At 44.9% G+C, this 20,991-nt stretch overlaps 1 protein-coding gene across 10 annotated transcripts in view, besides 2 other annotated features; it reads left to right on the plus strand.

Annotated features, from left to right (window-relative positions):
- The window catches only part of DPP6 (dipeptidyl peptidase like 6), a 1,146,153-nt gene that overhangs the window by 418,042 nt on the left and 707,120 nt on the right, over positions 1-20,991 (plus strand). The window lies entirely within an intron of this gene.
- Positions 17,632-18,445: an enhancer, noted in NCBI's record as "H3K27ac-H3K4me1 hESC enhancer chr7:153880891-153881704 (GRCh37/hg19 assembly coordinates)". NCBI's record gives its function as "activates a minimal SCP1, AML or CMV promoter by ChIP-STARR-seq in naive H9 embryonic stem cells {active_cell/tissue: H9 hESC(naive)}" and the evidence as "EXISTENCE:reporter gene assay evidence [ECO:0000049][PMID:30033119]".
- Positions 18,446-19,259: an enhancer, noted in NCBI's record as "NANOG-H3K27ac-H3K4me1 hESC enhancer chr7:153881705-153882518 (GRCh37/hg19 assembly coordinates)". NCBI's record gives its function as "activates a minimal SCP1, AML or CMV promoter by ChIP-STARR-seq in naive H9 embryonic stem cells {active_cell/tissue: H9 hESC(naive)}" and the evidence as "EXISTENCE:reporter gene assay evidence [ECO:0000049][PMID:30033119]".

The following is a 20,991-nucleotide window of genomic DNA, read 5'->3' on the forward strand; positions in this document are numbered from 1 at the left end:
CTCTATTTTAGATTTGTCAATCAGAGGTGCTCCATGAAGCAGCTCCTTAGTGCTGGGGGAAATGCAAAGCCATGGCGTGTCACTGTGGGTGCAAACCTGCTTCTGGAGCTGTGACGTTCTTGGGGAGGGAGGGCTGTGAAGGGTCATCTTGGAGGGGCCACCCCTGCATCTCACCCGTGAGCCATCCTTCTCAGAGGATGAGAGAGTGGATAAGAGCTCAGGAGCTGCAAGGGAGCATTGCGGGAGCACTGTGCATCATAAGAGGGGAGGATGAAACCGACAAAGACGGGCACCTGGCAGGGAGTGCTAGTAAACTGAGGCGTGGACTACAGAAACAATCCTCCCCCGAAGAACTTTTGAAAATATTGTACAGACCCAGGGCACCCTCCCTGACCTACAGAAGCCAAAACCCCAGTGTGGGAGCACAGTATGTACGTTTAGAAAAGTTTTCATATGGCCGGGCTCAGTGGCTCATGCTGTAATCCCGGCAATTTGGGAGGCTGAGGCAGGTGGATCACCTGAGGTCAGGAGTTCAAGACCAGCCTGGCCAACATGGCGAAACCCTGTCTCTACTAAAAATACAAAAATTAGCCAGGCATGGTGGCTGGTGCCTGTAATCCCAGCTACTTGGGAGGCTGAGGCAGAAGAATTGTTTGAACCCAGGAGGCGGAGGTTGCAGTGAGCTGAGATTGCATCACTACACTCTAGCCTGAGCGACAGAGTGAGATTCCATCTTAAAAAAATAAAAAGGCAGAGGTTGCAGTGAACCGAGATCACACCACTGCACTCCAGCCTGGGTGACTGTCTCAAAAAACAAAACAAAACAATACAAAAATTGTAAGTATGTGTGGGGCTCATGTGCTGAGTTTGGTGGGGGAAATCTTTCCATGCACCCCCACAACTGTCTACAATATGAAAACAATCTTCAAGAAAACACCAGCGAACAGACCATTCGTCTTTCCCTGTTGCCACATTTTATCTTGGTCTCAGGCTGCTGACCTGTCAGATGATTGACAAATGGAAACCGTATGGTGGCTCAGAGGGACCAGGCGTGGTGTGTGCTGCATTGAGGAGAGGGTGGGTAGGCAAATAGAAGTTAAGCACCCTAACAGAAATCATTCTAGGCTTCAGAGCTTAGCCAGTAGCTTAGCAAGTGGTATTTTCTAGGAAGCCACTCAGATTAGTGCCAACCTTCTGCAGAAATACAGAGCTATAGGTGCTGGGTGAGTTGTGAGCAAAGCCATGTTCAGAATATGTTAAGTTTCTATTTTTTAAGTGAGCTTATTTGCTGAGGTAATGCAGTTTGCCTGAGGCAAATGATCATTTAGATCAGCTTTCATCTTTTAAGCCAGATCTTGAGATTTGAGGCGCTAAACTCTTTGCGTACGCATTTTACAGCTCTCTTACTTGGTTGGGATCCACTGCTTCCCAGTATCTGCAGACCCTTCTGGGGACTGTGACCTGCAGGGGGTTAGGTAGCTGTTTTCAGGGGGGCATTTTGAGCCCGACATTCACGTTTTATAACATTAGCTGTGTGGGGGCTGGCAAGAAGAATCTAGCCTTTTCCATTAATTTAGTGACTTTGTTCATTTTAATTTTTTAGTTAATTCACTGACTTTATAATTTTGCTAAACCCTACAAACTGCTCAGCATAAATGATTTCCTTTAATCCCTACAAAATGTCAGGCTCCCAGGCCTGCAGGCTCAGAGTGTATGCAGGGCGAATGCTGCTTGTGTCTTATCCAGGACAGACTGGCCTGTCTCGCACCTGTCAGGCAACTTTACTCCTGATGCTGCTTTCTGGGACGCCATCCAATCTCATTTGGAGGTTTTGTCAGTGAGCAGATCTGTTTCTGTTAGATTCAATTGAGGCAGAGGCAGACACTGAGGACAGATGGGTGGCTGAAGATAACACCGGGGAAACCAGCCTCTAAGAAATAGAGCCACTGCAATTAAGACTTCCACTCTCTCTCCAGAGGTTGTGGAGTCAACAGAAAAGCAGATCCATGTCTGAAGACCATGACACCTTAGAAGCCCAGACAGACGAGAGGGAAAACAGCCTAGAAGACCTTGCCTTATTATTTCTACTCTAGAAAGATGCACGGGATCAATAAAGTAAATGAGCTGTTTCATCCAAGCTGGCCGCGCAGATCCAGGGCCACAGAGACAGACAGACACATAAACGCATTGATCACCCTGCTAGGGCCTACTGGCCTACCCTGCATGGAAAATGTGAATGGAAAGAAGGCAAGGAAAATACACTATTTGTAGTTCTGAGCCACAGCTCTGATTGTAGGTCACCTCCTTTCCTCTGTGGAAGGGCAGTCACATTGTGATCTTTCAAAACATTGGCTAAGGCGGTGATGATAACCAAGGCTGATATGTTACCAGCACACAGCAGATCTCAGGGCTGAGAGTGAGGCATGAATCTTCCAAGTAAGTGGCTCCATATGGGCCTCTTTGAGGTCTTTAAAGTCAACAGTCTCTTCATCATGGAATTCAACTTGACCCCTGTTCCACCGACATCAGAACTGGTGAGGTGACAGGGATTTAGAGCGACTTGTCAAAGGGATGGGAAATGCATTTGCTCAAATGATAATGACATTCACAATAGTCAAGATTCGTTGAGCTAGGATGCATGCTAAGAACTTTACAAGCATTTCTATTAAAATCTCAACACTGCTCAATGAAATATGTATTATCGTCTCCATTTTTAGATAAGAGAATTAATGTTTAGAAAGGCAAGTTGATCAGGCATATCTGTGCAGCAAATGGTAAGACTCGACTTGAACTAACCTTAGACAAAAAAACAAAAAACAAAGCAAAGCTGTGGAGTGGCAAGAGCAAGGCTGGCCTTAGGGACAGCGGGATGGGGGCTCAGGTGCAGCTGAGACCCTACCCATACCCCTTCTGATTGCGCTGCTGGCTTCTCCACTTAGGGAATGAGAGGAGACAATCAGTTGCTATTCTGAGTCATTTCCTGGGTCTCTGAGTAAAAAGGAGAGAAGCTTCCTCTCTTCCAGCTTCAGTTTGAAGAGTCTCAGGCAAGAACCCGGTTGGCCTGGTAGAGTCTTATGCCCATCCTTGAAGCAATCCCTGAAGCTGGAGGATACAGTCCTAAGGGTCCTAAGTTACTGGGTGCCATATGGTGGTGGGCGGGGTGGGGTCCATCACCAAAATGGAGCACAGAGGGAGCTAGTATGAATCAGGCAAGCAGTTGGCTCCACTTCCACATGAGATGGCAGCAGGCATCGCTAAGCCTGATTCACAGCACCTGGGCTTAAGTTGCAGCACCGATACATACCAGCTATGGGACTTTAGAGAGGGCATTTTCTCTGTGTCTTGATTTCCTTCATTTTAAACTGAGGACAATCATATCTAACTCCTGTGATAATTGGGTGTGTTAAATGAATTAATGCATTAGAGGAGTATCTAATACAAGGTAGATGCTTCATTAATGTAAGCTAATGTTATTTTTACCATTACTTTTACTGTTATTATAAGGAGCTATGTATCTTGTCCAAGGTCCTGTAATAGCTAATAAGTAAAAGAGCCAAAATTATTATTATTATTTGAGATGGAGTCTCACTCTGTCACCCAGGCTGGAGTACAGTGGCGAGATCTTGGCTCACCCCAACCTCTGCCTCCCGGGTTCAAGTGATTTTCCTGCCTCAGCCTCCCAAGTAGCTGAGACTATAGGCACGCGCTATCATGCCTGGCTAATTTTTTAGTAGAGATAGGGTTTCACCATGTTGGCCAGGCTGGTCTTGAACTCGTGACCTCAGGTGATCCACCCACCTCGGCCTCCCAAAGTGCTGGGATTACAGGCATGAGCCACTGCGCTTGGCCCCAAAATTCTTATCAGAGTTACAGTGGGAGATATCACACCATGAGCTCTCCTTCTAAGGATGCCCAGGCCCTGAATTCTGGCACCTACCTCGCCTGCATTTTGTAGGTTGCACTGATTTGCTTAGTGGGGCCACAGTCAACAGGCTCTGATCAAAGCCACCCTTGCCGCAGCTGACCCAGCAGCCTGCCCAGCTCCATCCAGGGCTGTTAGCCCATCCTAAAAAGGCCCTCTCCTTATAGACCATTGCCCGAGGAGGTCTTTCCAGGCCCTACCTCCTGAAACTCCTCTCTGGCCTAGTCTAATATCCCTTATCCTTCCTAACTTTCCTAAGTTTCCAGTCCTAACTTCCCTCTCCACCTGCACCTTGGACATGATGATTGACACTGTGACTTGCTTCTCAAAATCAGCTCCCCTATCAGGTCTGTTTTGTTCTCCGTCCTGAAGACAGTGGTCACGACCTCGCCCAACCCTGGGCTGGGGCTCAGCCTCCTGCTCATTACAGGGGCAGACGTGCCCTTTGATGTCAGGCCTGAATAGAGGTTCCTTATTTATTACAATTTATTATCCTCCGAATCTGCCTGGGGTTTTGATAGAACCTGGCTGCCAACGGCTTGCCCTGGCCTTTCTGAAACCTCACCATTTCCACAATGAAACAGGACGCAAGGACTGTGCCCCTGGTATGGGAAGGGAAGGAGGAGAAGCTTGCGTTTACAAGTGAGATATCCACAGACAGGGAACATACTACATTTTTTTCTTCTAGACTAGCCTCTGTGGACTAGTTCATCCTCCATAAGGTTGATATTTTTTTCCCAAAGCCTGGATTTGCATTGCCTAGAGCCACATTCACGGTAGGAGATGGGTCTTCCCAGTGTGACTGGACTCACTTCTTAGCACTCCCTCGGTGGGTGAGTTAGGCTGGAATGAAGGGAGGAGCCACCTTTGGGATTGCGGTGCTGCCCTGGGCACCTCACACTGCCTTCTCTTCCTGCTGCTCGCTGGTGCATGCTTAGAAAACCCAGTCAGCTTGTTTTGACCTAAAGCAAAAACCATTATTCTCTGAGTTTGTAGGTAAGCTTCCACCCAAAATATTGTTGTGAGACCTTGGATTTGGTGATCTTGGGCTAGCTGCCTAACTTCTTTGGGCTTCCATTTCTGCTCTATCAGGTAAAGGATTGGGACAGATGATCTTTTATGGCTATAAACATCCAGTGTGCTCCAAGGCCACTGCCAAATATACGCTTCAACAACGCTAGGAGTGGTTTGCATGATCTCCTAGGCTTGGGAACTCTGGGAGCAGGGATTGTCTGTTCTGTGCCTGGTACATGGGGGTCATTTAATACACGTCTCGACAACTGCATAGCCCTTTTGCTCCCTGAGCTGAGAGGACAGAGGAGGATGTTAACAGTCACTGTCTCAAAAAGCCCTGAGCAAATCTGCTCTGTTCTCAGCACCTCTCAGCACTGCCTCCTTCATGAGTCCCTGCTGGGTGGGTAGGGGGCTAATTAAGCTTGAGTTTCAAGAACTTGTCTACAAATCCACTTCAAGGGCTCACATGCAAATCAGGCCCTGCTGGCAGCCATTACCATCTCCCACCTGCAGCCCAGGCCTTAGAGGCCAGGATTCACAAGCAGAACAACACCTGCCCTCCTCTGAGAGCTGTGCTGCAGCCCAGGGCCACGTGGACAGGGTGCTGGTGCATTCTCCAGCAACACTGTTGAGCTCTCTAGTTTGCAGAAGAGTCCAAGGGTCCTCACAAAACCTGTGACAACTGAACAATCCCACCATTCTTATATGATATATATAACCACCATTCCATATGTATAATTATGATTGAAACCGAATATCATTCCTGATTGCAGAGTCTCCAAGATGGTAATTTCTGTCTTAGTGTATTTTCCACTGGTAGTTTTGTTTGTTTTCCTGACTAACGTTATGAAACAGTATTACTCTCCTGTTACAGATGTACACACTGGGATGCAGAGAGGTGATCTGACACAAGGACAGCCCATGGTCAAGCCCCTTTGACTTCTGTCTGCTGTTGAAAAGGATGTGCCTCCCTTTCACTGAGCCTCATTGCAATACTTGTATAGATTCTGTGCCCCTCCCTCCCTTCCTTCCTTCTTCCCTGCCTGCCTGCCTGCCACAGGTGTTTAATGAACATCAACTATGTGCCAGGGGCTGTGGAGTATTCTAGAAATGAAACAAGGTTCCTGCTCTGAGTTTTTATGTTGACGAGAAGGAAAGGGTGAATAAACAAATACATTAACAAGAAAATATCAAGGAGCGATAAGAGCCCTGATAATTATTTAAGATGAGACTCAGGAGGCAAATGTGACTTGAGCAGCCTGCCCCGCCTCCTGTGTGAAGAAAGGCAGGAAAACATTCCAGCAAGAGAGAATCCCCACTGTTAGAATCTCTGCATGTTGTCATTAGCTGCATAGATCTGCTTGTTGAAACATGAACCAAAACTTTCAATCTTGGTCTGCTTGCCCTGGATAAAGTGCATTTCTGAGTCTTGGACCACAGCTTGGGAAATTAGCAGAGGCAAATGCAATTGTCTCTTCTAAAGTCTTTTTTTTTCTTTTTTTTTTTTTTTGAGACAGGGTCTTGCTGTGACCCAGGATGGACTGCAGTGGTGCCATCACAGCTCACTGCAACCTCCGCCTCCTGGGGGCAAGTGATCCTCCCACTTCAGCCTCCCGAGTAGCTGGGACTACAGGTGCCCACCATACGCTTGGCTAAATTTTGTATTTTTTTGTAGAAAGGGGGTTTTGCCATGTTGGCCAGGCTGGTCTTGAACTTGTGAGTTCAAGCCATCCAACTGCCTCAGCCTCCCAAATTGCTGGGATTACAAGTATGAGCCACTGCGCCTGGCCCTCTCCCAGTCTTGAGACCACAGTGGTTGGAAGCTTTAACAGAAAACATTATATGTGTGTCTTCCTCAGGAAATGTATTTTGTTAAAAATCTGTAACATGAAGGGAATGGTAGGAAAGAGTAGGCTGCTTTTGCATTTAAAACAATGTTAGGAGTGAATCGCTTTCCTGGTGGGTTATGTTAGAATGAATCTCAAACCCTCACTAATATCTTTCAGAGGAATTTTGGCAAATAGCAGTTGTTTCTTGGCCTAATTGAAGTCTTGGTTAATTTATCCCAATAACAATAACATTACCAGTATTTGTATAACAAAAATGGTTTCTGACTGTGCCAGCGTGGGACGAATGAGACTCATCACAATTTGTTTTAGGGATGGAGATTTAGAAGAATGGGTGGAGAACATTCTAAATGGAATCTATGGACAGGGTTTTTATTCTTAGTGAATTTTGAAGAAGTGACGTAAAGGAAACAGTTTCGTGTAAGCCCTGGCTCCTCCCTCAGGGGCAGCTGGACAAGTCGAGCAGATCCTGGAAGTAAAAGGCAGCCCCGGATTTTTATTTCTGTTTTCCCTTTCACCCTAACAAGGCCGTGCTCTCCTGCTCATCTCTCTCCACTGCCTGGACTCCTCTCTCTCTGCCTTCTCTCTCTGTTTCCTCCCCCTTCTCTGTGTGCTTCCACCTCCCGCTGCTCCCTGCTCTCCCTGTCTCCGTTCCCCATCCCTTCTTGCTCTTTGCTGCTGACCAGCTGTGCAACTCTGTGCATCTGAGGGACTCCTCTGGACGTCAGCTGCCACATCTGTGTTATTGAAGGGGACAGACACGGGATTCCTATTATGGCCAACGCAGACTCACCCTTTCTGCAGGCTCACCAAGGAACGACCACTCAGGGAGAGTGGGTCTGACATCCTGAGAATCACCATGACTTCCCCAAACCAGTGGGACATCCGGGGCCTTTGACTGTGGCTGGGCTGCCTCTGACGGGCGGGACCCTGACACCCACCTTAGCTGTGACAGTTGCTCCATGCAGCTAGTTCCTGGGCACCTGTGCAGTTCCTTCCACAGGAGGACATTCTGCCCTTTGCCTTCTTTGAGACATGGGTGTCTTGCTTAAGGGGACCAGTTTCCCCCACGTGCCTCTCTACCATCCTTTGGCTATAGGGTATTTTAAACATACAGATTTATTTTCCTTTTCTATTTACAGTTTCCTTTGGGTGAGAACGGAGTGAGTTGGTTATGACCGGGGGACCTGAGTCACACCACTTTGATTAATGCCAGCTCCACCACGCACTAGCTGCATGACTTTGGACAAATTTCTTACTTTCTTGCAGTTCTGTTTACCCATTGGAAAACTGAAATAATAAAAAGAACAACCTTACGTGGTTGGGGAGAAGTAGATACACGGATTCATTACAGTGCATGGCACATTTTATTTTTATCTTGGTTAAAAAATGCATAGCATAGAATTTACCATGTTAACTGTTTTCAAATGTTCAGTTCAGTAGTGTGAAGTAGATCCACACAGCTGGAAACCAGATCTCCAGTGCACGGCACATTTTTATGCTGGAAATACCTCTGTTAGAAATAAATCCTTGGAATTGATACATACACAAAGCCGTCACTCATCACAAATGATGGAACTAGAAAGCCAAGGCCTATTGGTGTCTAAGAGTCAGCCTGCCCATGCTCACAGACCTGCCTGGAAAGGTTTTGTTTTGTTTAGAATTTTCTTTTTATCACCATTTCTTCATTACTGGAAGCCTGGCTCTTTGCAGACAAATCGATATCTCCAAGGTTAAACAATTTATTTTTGTATATTTTTCAGGAGACATCGAGTCCCTGTAATGCAAGCAAGTTGCTCATTTCCTGCTTCTCCAGTTCTGTCTTCCTTGTCCCCTCTTCCCCTGCCTCTCTCCTCTCTTCTCTTACCCTCTTTGTTATCTCATCATAATTTCTTCACAGCCCAATTTCTTTCTTTCTTTCTTTTTTTTTTTGTTTTGAGATGGAGTCTCACTCTGTCACCCAGGCTGGAGTACAGTGGCATGATCTCGGATCACTGCAACCTCCGCCTCCCAGGTTCAAGCAATTCTGCCTCAGCCTCCCGAGTAGCTGGGATTGCAGGCCCCTGCAACACGCGCCCCCCACCCCTGTCTAATTTTTGTATTTTTATTTATTTTTAATATTATATTCTATGGAGTCATTTCCCAACTAGCATGTCTTATGCTTGAATTATTCTTTATACTTAATACTGCCCATCACATAAAAGACGTTGTCACGAACCCAGTGTTGTTGGCAGAATTTTGGCTCCTATGATCTCTGTCACCTGGTGTCACACCAATGGGTATATTACAGTACCTGGCAAAAGAGACTTTGCAGATGGAATTAAGGTTGGAAATCGTCTTGGATTCTCTAGGTGGGACCAGTGTCATGATATGAGCCCTTCAAAGCAACAGACGAGGTCAAAGCAAGGGAAGGACTCAGTGTGCAACTGGTGGCTTAAGGGAGGAGAAGGCCTGAGAAGGGGCTGGACCCTGGCACCAGCATGAGCTCGGAAGCAGGTTTTCCCCCCACCCCACCCCCAGAGCCTCCAGGAAGAAGTGCAGCACTGCTGAAACTTTGATCTGCACCGCCCCACTCCCAGGCCCTGGACAGAAAATACAGCCACTCTATGCTGGACCTGGGACCTATAGAACTATAGTGGGTGTTGCCTTAAGATGCTCAGCTTGCAGCAATTTGTTTTGGCCGCAACAGAGCACTCCTACACCTACCATTCACTGGCAGATAAGAGCTTAGAAGCAAGGCTATTTATTCTTACTGGAGACTGGCTTTTTTTTTTTTTTTTGAGGCGGAGTCTCGGTCTGTCGCCCAGGCTGGAGTGCAGTGGCACGATCTCGGCTCACTACAACCTCAGCCTCCAGGGTAGCTGGGATTACAGGTGTCCATCACCACACCTGTCTAACTTTTGTATTTTTAGTAGAGACGGAGTTTCGTCATCTTGGCCAGGCTGGTCTCAAACTCCTGACCTCAAGTGACCCACCCACCTCGGCCTCCCAAAGTTCTGGGATTACAGGCATGAGCCACCATGCCCAGCCAGAGGCTGGCTTTTTTTTGCTTCAAATGCTTTATGACCAAAACTGTCTATGTGCAGGGTCCCCAGCTGAAGTGGATACATATTTTGTGTTCATGGAATAGGAGGAAATTAGTTGGCCTTTCAGAAATATGGGACAAGATTTCTTCTTAGAAATGTGCCCTAAGCAAGTGAATTGAGTAAAAGTGTGGATTCTGAGTCCCTGCTCCTTGCAGAGGACTATCTGGAAATCGGTTGCATTCTCAGGAAAATAATTCAGAAGTGCAGTATCCTGTGGACCACTGCATATTTCCTGAATCAGTATCTTTGTGGATATGGGAAGGGGATGTATGTATATGTTTGGTGAGCGCCCAGGCAGTACATACAAACATTTGAAACCCACTGCTGTGCTCCAGTGTTTTTTAAACAGCTGGTTGAGACCCATTGAATCATGAAATCAGTGTAGCCAGACCATCGTTTAAAAAAATTAGAAGTGCATAGGAAAGAAAAGGTAATGTTATCAGAATGTCTTGCAACATGGTAAGGACAAGTGTGTTTGGTGAAACTTTTGTTTCAATGTGTGTGTTTTCACTATATGTGTCTGCGTATGTGTGTGTCCAGAGTCACCATGTAAAATGAGCAGGAATATTTCAGAAGCACTGCTCTTGTCTGATCTTGCAAATCTCAAGCCTTTGTCCTGGACTCTCCAATGCGCTGGGTCTCTGATCAACCCTGCCCTGACCACCTGCGTGGCCTGCCTTGCCTTATGGCGACCCTCGGAAGAGTCGAGCAGGCAGCGCGTGCCTGGGGCTTTCAGGGACACACTTCCTTCCATTCGGGGACCTGTGAGTATGTCAGTGGAAATCATTTTTTTTTCTTTTTCTTTTTTTATTTTTTGAGACAGGGCCTCAGTCTGTCGCCCAGGTTACAGTGTGATCCTGGCTCACTGCAGTCTTCATCTTCTGGGCTCAAGCCATCTTCCCACCTCAGCCTCCCAAGTAGCTAGGATTACAGGCACACACCACCACACCTGGCTAACTTTTGTATTTTTTGTAGAGATGGAGTCTCGTCATGTTGCCCAGGCTGGTCTTGAACTCCTGGGCTCAAGCGATTCTCCCAACTCTCCCTTCCAAAGTGCTGGGTTTACAGGCATGAGTCACTGCACCCAGCCAAAATAATTTTCTATTCGCTGGGGAGTAAAGTTGTCTTTGCATCTCCCGCACAGATATACACAAGAAATATAGGCAGGTGCTGGCTACGGATGCATAGAAATGGATGGCTTCAATACAAGGTTTTTGGTTGATGTGGAACAATATTACCGCATAGATAAAGAAGCCCCTTCAAAATTAGCTTTACCAATGAGATATGGTAAAAAAAAGAAGTATAAGTGATGAAAACTAAAGAGACATATGACTGTAAGTGTTAAGACTTGAAGGAAATAATAAAAGCCAAACTGCATCTCTGATTTTAAAATATGGGAGTCATAATAAATCAACAGAAAGGATAAAGGTATGCTGAGGAAAGCCAAAGAGGAGTGACCACTGTTGGTCACCAAACTGCTGGCTATTTGCAGAAGGGCCTGAGGCCCTGACCTGAGACTTGTGCTCAAGTCAGCATAGTTTGGGCTCATTGGAATATGTGATGCTAACGATGTCCCCCAGAAGAGTATTTTGTTCCTTTACGCACTTTTTAAAATAATCATCTGTGATATGAAAATTTGGACTGGTCTTGAAGGAATGAGTCCTCTCCTTACCCAGGTTTCTTTGTGATGTCAGGCAATGATGGTAATAAGAATGGTACTCCAGTACTAGGAGTAATACGGTACTTTGATAGCGCACTAATGCACAGCATTGGCAGAAGGCTCATGGTGGATGTGAAATTAAACGCTTCGTATAACCCATAGGCGATGTTGTTGTCTTTGTCATGGACAGGGGAGAAACATGAGGCCCAGAGAGGTAAGGTGAGCACTCCCTAATAGTCAGCATTGGGTGAGGCAGGAACATTGTGGCCCTGAGTCCCTGAGATTCAGGGCTTTTCCCATGAAGCCAACCCACTGGTCACTGAGTGGTTTCACTCCTTTCACCAACCAGGATACTTCAGAAAGCACTTGGGGTGACCCAAAGCTGGGTCCAGATCAGGGGAGTCGGTTGTAAGTTGTCATGACACTTCATCCTTACAGAAGGTGGAAGTTACTCATTTCTGTTCAATGAGCTTTGAAGAACAAAAGGTCACTGCTAATTTGAAGATTAAACCTTTATACCAACAACATCCTCCAATTACTATAGAAAATTTAGCATCCACCATTTGCTCAGGAAGCAAAGAAGTCACTGTTGAACAAACTCTGAAATAACCAAGGCCTCCAGGCCCCACACCTCTTTTAAAGTGCTTTCATGCTGACCATCTTTTTTTTTTTTTCCTTCTATCTTCAGCCCCTAACCACAAAGCCAAAAACCACAAGAAGGCAGAAAAGTACAATAAATGGGTTTTCTCTACCCATCCCCAGCAATTGTTTCACAGTTTTATTAAGTTGGGGATTCTTGGAAAAAAAAATCCTGAAAAAAAAAAAACAATTCTAGTTTAGGATCCCTCTTTGAGTGCTCTGCAACATAGGCGAGAGCAGTAAAAACACGTTCCATTGAACACAGAGCCTCAGACATAGACATCTGTCTGTTGGAAGGAAGTCACTGACTATGGCTTTATGCTGAAATACACAGATCACGTTTATATAGGATTTTATCATTTGAAAACATCCCTGCTCAGAGATGATCCTGCCTCATTCTGCAACAGCCTTTTGCAGTTTACATGGAAGGATTCAGATTAGGAGGGAGAAGTTGAAGAGCCTTTAGACTAGAGGCAGCAGGAGGAGGAACAGCCTCAGATGGGGGAGAGAGGAGAAGTTGGCATGTCCACCACTAGCAAAGATCTGGGTGCTGCTTCAAGATAGAACCCAAGGGAAGTGGCAGGGTCCCAAGGGGAATGTTGAGTGAGGCTCTCACTGGGGGAGGTCCCAGATTCCTGGCCCCCAGCCCCTCCAAAGGGTTATGAGTCCCAGGATGGCCCAGAAGCAACAGGGCTGACACACCTTAAGGAGCAATGCAGGCTGAAGAAGTTCCTGCCACTGGTGACTCATCATCAGAATTCCCCTTTCCCTGGGCTGTGGCTCTGCATAAACTCACAGGACTGCAGACCAGGCCTGGAGGAGATGACCCCAGAGAGGAGGAAGACTGAGTGTGCTGCCAGCCTATTAGAACTCAGCATTGCATTCAAATTCTAGTTGCTCTAAAGAAAATTAGGAAATGTGATATTTCTTGCACACCTGAATTTGTAGGCTACATGCAGAACAAAGGACAAAATGAGAGTCCAAGAAGGAAGTGCAGTGCTTTAAGGGTTGAGTGAATGGAGACTGAAGGGTATTTAACGGGCCATTGGCATCAAATTAGAAAGTATGGGTCTTAGAATTTCTTTTACATTAGAAGACTTTGGGCTGAATATTGATATTCTAGGGATAAATTCTTGATACCCTAAAATTCAGCCCTCATACAAAGCAGTGATTGTGATTTCATGAATGTTGTCCCTGAGAAACAAGTGTCTGGCATGAGCTCCCCATGTCTGGACCACCAAGCTGATACCAATAATGGCTGTTGCTTCCTTTTCCCCTACATCAAAACCTTAGGTTTGCTTCAGGCTTATGGCCTTGGTCATCCTAGGAGTCACCAACTTGCTATGAGAAGCTGGCCTGATTTTGTGTCACTTTCATCTTTGTAAAGTATAAACACAACATGTGAAGTTGTTAATTTTCAGTGCACTGCCCCATTCTGTAGCGTTCTACTTTGTAAATGACATTGAGCATATACACTTTCCACCATTGTAGTAAGCCCAACATTCAGTGAAGACAGATGCCTCCATTTATTTAAAAAAAATCAACACATTATTAATTTTAATGCAATTTAAGCTAAAAATGACCGACAATTCTTGGTTTACCAACAACCTCTTTTAAAAATTGAGACTCTCATAAGAGGATTTCGGTTTAAAAATGTTGAAAGGTCTTTTTGTATAGAAACAGAATGAAGTACAGGATATATTTAAAATGTGGCTAATTAACAAAATATTTGTGGTGGCTCATGCCTGTGATCTAAGCACTTTGAGAAGCTGAGGCAAGTGGATCACCTGAAGCCAGGAGTTCAAGACCAGCCTGGCAAACATGGTGAAACCTCGTCTCTACTAAAAACACAAAAATTAGCCAGGCATGGTAGTGCGCACCTATAATCTCAGCTACTCGGGAGGCTGAGGCATAAGAATCGCATGAACCCGGGAGGTGGAGGCTGCAGTGAGCTGAGATTGCACCACTGCACTCCAGCCTGGGCAACAACCCGGGAGACAGATAGATAGATAGATAGATTCTCTCTCTCAAAATATATATATAAATATATATATATGTATAAATATATATATCTATATATAATATATAATATATATACACATTTATATATTATATATAGATATATATTTATATAATGTTATATAAATAGATATAGATATATAAATAAATATATATAAATATATAGAGAGTATATATATGTTTACGTATATATTTAGAGAGAATATATATATATATTCGAGTTTATATTATTATTTTTAAGATTTCAAAAGCCTTCCCTTAAACACTTAGATCCATGAATATCCCGTTTTTTTACTAATGTGGGCGATGAAACTTCAAATGACTTGGGAAAAGATATTCTAGGAATGACAATCTTTTTTTAAAAAAATTCTTGCTAGGAAGAAGTATCAGAAACCTCCATGTTCTTACCCATATTTTCAGTGATTAACAGTTTCTTGTGATGCAAGTTTTCTCCACAGTTTGTTTCCAGGGTTACAAATCCATCATGCCTACCTTTTCAAAATCACATTAATTCAAGTTCACATTATTTTTATCAGCCATCAATTAAATATTAATCAGCTTTTCTTGGTCTTTAGCCTATAGGTCTTACTTACAAGACTCTTTAAAGAGGAAATACTAGAAACCCTGCCAGTTCAATCCCCTGGCTTGGAATAATTTTGTCAGCAGTACTGACTCCTGTAGCTATCTGTGTTGCTTAACTTGCGACTTCTCTTAAGTGGAAAGTTGAAGAGCTTTAAGAGTATTAACTTGCTTTGTTTCCATATTGACATGATCAACAGGCTACCCACAGATCTGATGCATTTCAATGCCCAAACACAAGAGCATGCCCCTGGAAAACTGCTGATTCTGAGTTCCAGTAAAGCTTTAAGCTCCTGAGATTATGACCATTTCTTTATTTTGGTTTTCCACTCGTAGAAACTGTCTTTCAGATAAGAGAGGAACACTACTGTCCAGAGAGTGGTGACAAGGCATCATGGGAGAGGTGCTTAAAAGTCTCCCCAACCGCCCCATCATACTTCCTTGCAAGAGCCAGCTCTGGTGTCAGAAATTCCCTAGTGTTCTGCTGGTTTATGTAAGACATGACCCTCTCCAATGTGAATGCCTCTGTAGAGAGAGCCAACTGATGACGGCCTTAAATAAAGATCCTGAAACTCCTGTCCTCTTCATTCAGCCAGAGAGGAGCTGAGCTCACAGCCCTAAACTATTCATTTCTACCAATGGCAGAAAGTGTATAGCCCATTTTTATATGTTTAATATGTAAGGCAGCATAATATTAGTTTATACACACTCATTTGGACCCCTTATCTCTCTGTGTGTGTTTAATTTGTTTCTTTTGCCATTTTAAAAACACTTGAGGTGTGGTGCACTCATGAAAATGCATCTCCCTCTTTTTTTTTTTTTTTTTTTGAGACAAAGTCTCTGTCACCCAGGCTGGAGTGGTTCAGTGGTGCAATCTTGGCTCACTGAAACCTCCGCCTCCCTGTTCAAGTGATTCTCCTGCCTCAGCCTCATGAGTAGCTGGGATTACAAGCATGTGCCACCACACCCAGCTAATTTTTTTATTTTTAGTAGAGACGGGGTTTGGTTTCACCATGTTGATCAGGCTGGTCTCGAACTCCTGACCTCATGATCTGCCTGCTTTGGCATCCCAAAGTGCTGAGATTACAGGTGTGTGCCACCGTGCCTGGCCGAAAATGCATCTCTTAATGGTCTTGAGGACTGAGCCCCATGGCTGGCAGTCTGGGCTGTGGATGTGTGATCCTGCTTGGGTTTAGGAGGATGAACAAGCTGAACTTCTCACTTAGGAAATTGCAAAATACCATTGCACACTGAAACCTGTAAATTTATTTTGGAATAATTATGGATTGCTAAGGGGGACAGAAATTAAGGCCATAACTCTACAAATTGTAACCACCAGGATTGCCTAGGTAACAGCTCCAAGATCTCCAGGGCTCCAAGAAGAAGCGTTTATTTCTCAGTCTTGCCACATGCCCATTGCTGACCTACCAGGGGGCTCTGCTGTCCCCCTCCTCATGCTGGTTGCCATGCCAGAGGAAAGAGAGCTCTGGAAGGTTTTATGTCGGGGCTGTTCAAGCTGCTCATGCCAAAGGGATGCTGCTTCCTTCTAGAACCTGTTGACAGGTCACCCAGTTCCTTCTGGCCATAGCAACCAGGAAGGATAATGTAACATGTGCCCGGGGGAGGTGGGCTGGAAATGTTTGGCAGCCAGCACTGCTCACACACAGATGTCAAGAGATGATTTTCACTGGACAGAAAAGCCAGCAGCCTTTCCGGAGGTGAAGTATCCTCCGTCTTCATGACTAGGAAGAGGCTTTGTGCTGTGTCTCTCGGTGTGCTATTAATATGTGAGCCAGTGCATTGCCCTAACCATCAACTCCATCCTGCTTCCTCATCAAGAGAAAAATGCAAAACCACCTGCTGTGGGATGGAGAAGACCAGCGCATTCCCGAGGAGGCACTGCTTTCCCTTGCCCTCACAGCCTGGCCTTTGAATATTCTCCCAGAAATAGGTTCTTGGTTCTCATTCTCCTTTCCTGAGCCCTCCTTTCTCACTTCTCTTCCCACTCTGTGCCCTGGAGTGCCTTCCTGTAATTCAGAGCTGGTGTTCTTTTGGGGGATTTCTCTTCATGATTGAGATGAGACTGTCTAAGGGGCTAATGTCACCCATTTCAGAATTCACTTCCCGGATAAGGATTCTTCATAGCTGTGTTAAGATTTTGCTGTTGTTGAGTCCCCAGCTGGCTAGTGCTCTTGGCCTCCATCACTTTTCTCTTCCTCCTTTCTTGCCCCCTTTGGTTTCATGAAGCTGATTTTTTCTCAAGTTTCGACTCTTGCCTCTGAGCCACCTTTTCAGTGCATGACTTTCACTGCCCTAAAATAACCTATAGCAAGAAAATCCCAAAAGAACAGTGTTCATTCACTGCTTCTAAGTGACAATCAGAACTTCTTTTAAAGACAGCATATTATTATAATTCATTACAATGAAAAACAGAAGGTGCCTGGGTGAGTTGAAGTAATTGTTTAGTTGTGGCTCCTGATCTTTTTAAAAGGTCTGCATGTGAACTAAACACTCTAAATATGTCCAGTCCCTCCTGTCAAATTCCTGTAAGGGCAGAATCACCTCGGGGAGTGGTTCTTCCGGAGTGGTGATTGACATGCAAAATGCTGCGCAGAGAGCCTCAGCATTCACTAGGGCGTCTTCCTTCCTCCCCTCCTCCTTTCCTTCCTCCATGACTGAAGGCTTGCGTGGTTCCCACACCCTGCTGGGCACTGATCAGGTTCTAAGATCTGCCTTCAAGGAACCCACAGCCTCATGGAGAGAACGACGGACAATTAGGTCACCACAACACCGGATAGAAACCCCACAGGCGCAGTCAGTGCCTGCCTGGCTCACACTTTCATACCCTAGAGCCAGGACTCCAAAACCATGTGTCCAATGAATCACTCAGCACCGGGACTGTCACAAAAGTGAGTGTAAAGAACTGTGGGTCATTCCCTCTGCATCGTGCATTTCTCTGACAGGGGCCCTGCACTATTTGCGGAGGCATCTGTAGATTTATTTCTTAATTGCCTAAACCACTCTGAAATACCTGTCCATTCCCTTAGCATAAGATTAAGTGGATAATGGCCAAATCTCTATTTTTCTGAGTAGCCAAACTTAGCGGTCAGCATTTAGCCTTTATCCACAAACATGGATAGGAAGCCCTGCCCCTGGGCATGGCAGACGGGCAGGACCAACCAAGAAGCAGGGACCAGCCCAGGCACAGTGAGGACCCTCAGCATCAGGCAATGATTTTGAGTTGAGATAATGGTTAGTGTCTGTGTTTCTCAGAGCAGGATATGCTCTTTAATCTAGGATGCAAAGCCCATATGAGGTAAGAAAAAGAATGTAGAACCATTTGGAAAACACCCATTTTTCCCCTGGGAGGCTGAGTAGGTCAGGGGGATCCGCTGGCAGGGGGTCCTCTCCACTCCCCTCTGATTCCCAGAGGCCGAGAATGTCGTGTTCAGCCATTGGTTACTCTGTGCTGCACGGTGAAGTCTGTGGTTGTTGGTAAGCAGCGTAAAAGCCAGGGAGTGTCTGCTGCAAGAATCCCTGGGCATCACGTTGCTTCCGACACTGGTCTGTGTGAGTCCCACAGACGTCCTAGCAGCTGCAAGGGGCACACACCTCCGACCTCCGACCGGCAGGTATGAATGCTTCCAAAGTGCCCGGAGTGAACAGATTAAAGCAATTTTGGAGGGTGAGTAAAAGGATACAAATCAACTTACTGAACAAAAAGAAAAAGTTTAATTTCTGGAAAAAAAAAAAAAAGTAGCTGACCTGCAGTCTGAGATATGCTGAGAGATACACACATTATCTTACAAAATTTCTGCGGGGAGGTTCAGTCGTGCCTGTTTGATGCCTTACTAAATGTTGGGAATCTAATTTTAACTGATCTGCAGCAGAAGCAATCAGCAGCCAGCTCTGTGTTGGGTGTTTACTCAGAGCAAAAGTTTTCTGGGAAAGGCAGTTTAGCATCTGAGCCACGGTGCGATGGTTAGCCATATTTATGACCACTCATGCATCAACCAGCATAGTCTGATCTTAGCCTCTGGGAGCCGATTTAAGTCTTGAATGTGATGGCTAATAGATAGAATTCTGAAAATATGTGTATATATGTTTTCCTTCAGACTCTCTAGTCTCTCAGAAGCCCTATCTAACTAGAAGGACAAAAGAAAATCTCAGTCTTTGCATTGTACTGTTAAAGCATTAGAATGTACTAAGGCAATTGTAATCACAAAGCATTCAAATGTATGGTATGCATTGTAGGCTATTAACATAATCCTGTGTAATGAGAAGATCAGCACCAAGCTAGCCTAATGGCAGACAGCTTCTGGGATTTCAATTTTTGCCTGGATTCACAGAATAGTAAAACCTCTTGGGAATTCATTGCTTTTTTTTCAGTTGTCAGAAGCTAGGCTCTGTGCAACAAGTAAAGAATTCTTTCCTGAATAGTTATTCTACTTGGGATTCAGGGAGATGGTAAATGTCCACGCTGGGTATCAATATCAGAGTCCGTTCCATCAGTGCTTAGGGTCTAGAAAGGAATGGATGATCCTGAAGCCGATGTTCAGTGATCCCTCACACTTGTAATGCAGGGCTGGAATAACGTGATGGGTAGGTTTCCATCTTGGTTGAACATTTTATGATTCTATGGTTTTCTTTCAATGCTAGGATTGTCATCCTGATCGTTAGAAATCACTTTAGTAGATGAATAAACAGCAAGCAGTGAGCGCATCTAATAGATTTCTGACAATAGATCGACAGCTTTTCTTTCTCTCTGTTGCTCTAAGTCATTTGAGAAAAGCCTGGGGTTACAGATATTCTTTGTCAATTACTTCTGGAATCCCCATATCTACTCTTTTAGGCTTTTAAAGATGAGATAATATGAGTATGCTAGTAATTTTGAAATTACTTCTTAAGCAAGGTTCTGCATTCACTGGGTAGAACCAAAATAATGCCTTTCCAAATTAAAGCATGTGTATAGTATATAAGCGGGTATTTCTTCTGAGTAAGCAAGAAGATATTAAAAACATTGAAATGATGGAACTCTGCAGAAGAACCATATGACGCATGCACAACTCTAGGCTGCATTGGGAAAACCAGCCATATTTGGGTTTGGGATTAGCCTCTTGGTTTTGTGCAAGTTGCTTAGTGCCCTGTATTACCCATCAGTGAAGTGAGTGGTTCCTCCCAGCTCTGAGATTTCATCCGAACAGCATGGAAAACAGTAGATCATTTTCACCAAATATCTGTGTAGATAGGACTGGGAACATCTGATTAAATGTGTTGAGTGTCACATTTTCTAGATGTTAGAGGACTCTGACAATGTCTTGTTGAAATCATACTTGGGTCTGGCTCTGGACTCTAAAAAGCTCTTCCTTAATGACATCAGTTGTGATGGATCAGAGTCACTTGTAGATATGGTGATGAACAAAAGACTAGTTTTTATTTTCTCTTTCACAGATGAAACCTTATTTTAGCCACTGACATCTCCGAATGATCTGAAAATGTATTGCATACAACACCTCAAAGTTTCAGATGGACACTCCCTCAGTTGTATTTGGAAGGGAGGCCCCAGGGGCCCCTTGGCATCCTCTGAGAGATGTTCCTGCAGACGCACAATGCACACAAGTGCACAGAGGCAACTGACTTGGGGTCCCAAGCTAGTAGCACACAGGCATGGCCTGAGTACTCAGAGGAGGACTCCGGTGGATATGAGCAGACACCCAGGGTTTCACTTGTCACCAACACAGTCCAGATGATGAAGCAAATACTCAATACTCCAAAGAATTCCTTAATTATTTAGGAAATTTAAATGGGTGATATAATTACTCGGTTGTCTCAATTCTGAATTATTCATTCTGTTTTTAATGGTAGTTTGATGCTAGTAACTCCAGGCTATTATTAATAATTTTTTAAAAAATCAGAAGTAGATTAGAAAACAGTTTCAGAGGAAGGATTTAAAAGCCTCTTAATGGAGGAGTGGCTATGCGGCATTGCATTCAAACAGCCACAGCTGAAGGCTGACTGGGCTTCCTCCAGGCTGTCCTCCTTCCTGAGCCAGTTCCCGTTTGGAGTCTGGGCTGGAGGGAGCTCCTGGCAGTGCCATGACTCAGTCTGGTGAAAAAGCCTGTGTGTGTTCAGGCTGACTTTGAAGGAAGCACCTCTAATGATCTGCAGCCAGGGTGGCTTTGAAGATGGTAAGCATAGAATTTCAAGAACTGGACTTTGGGTACT

Source organism: Homo sapiens, chromosome 7 (assembly GCF_000001405.40).
Source record: "Homo sapiens chromosome 7, GRCh38.p14 Primary Assembly".
In the NCBI taxonomy this organism is placed as follows: Eukaryota; Metazoa; Chordata; class Mammalia; order Primates; family Hominidae; genus Homo; species Homo sapiens.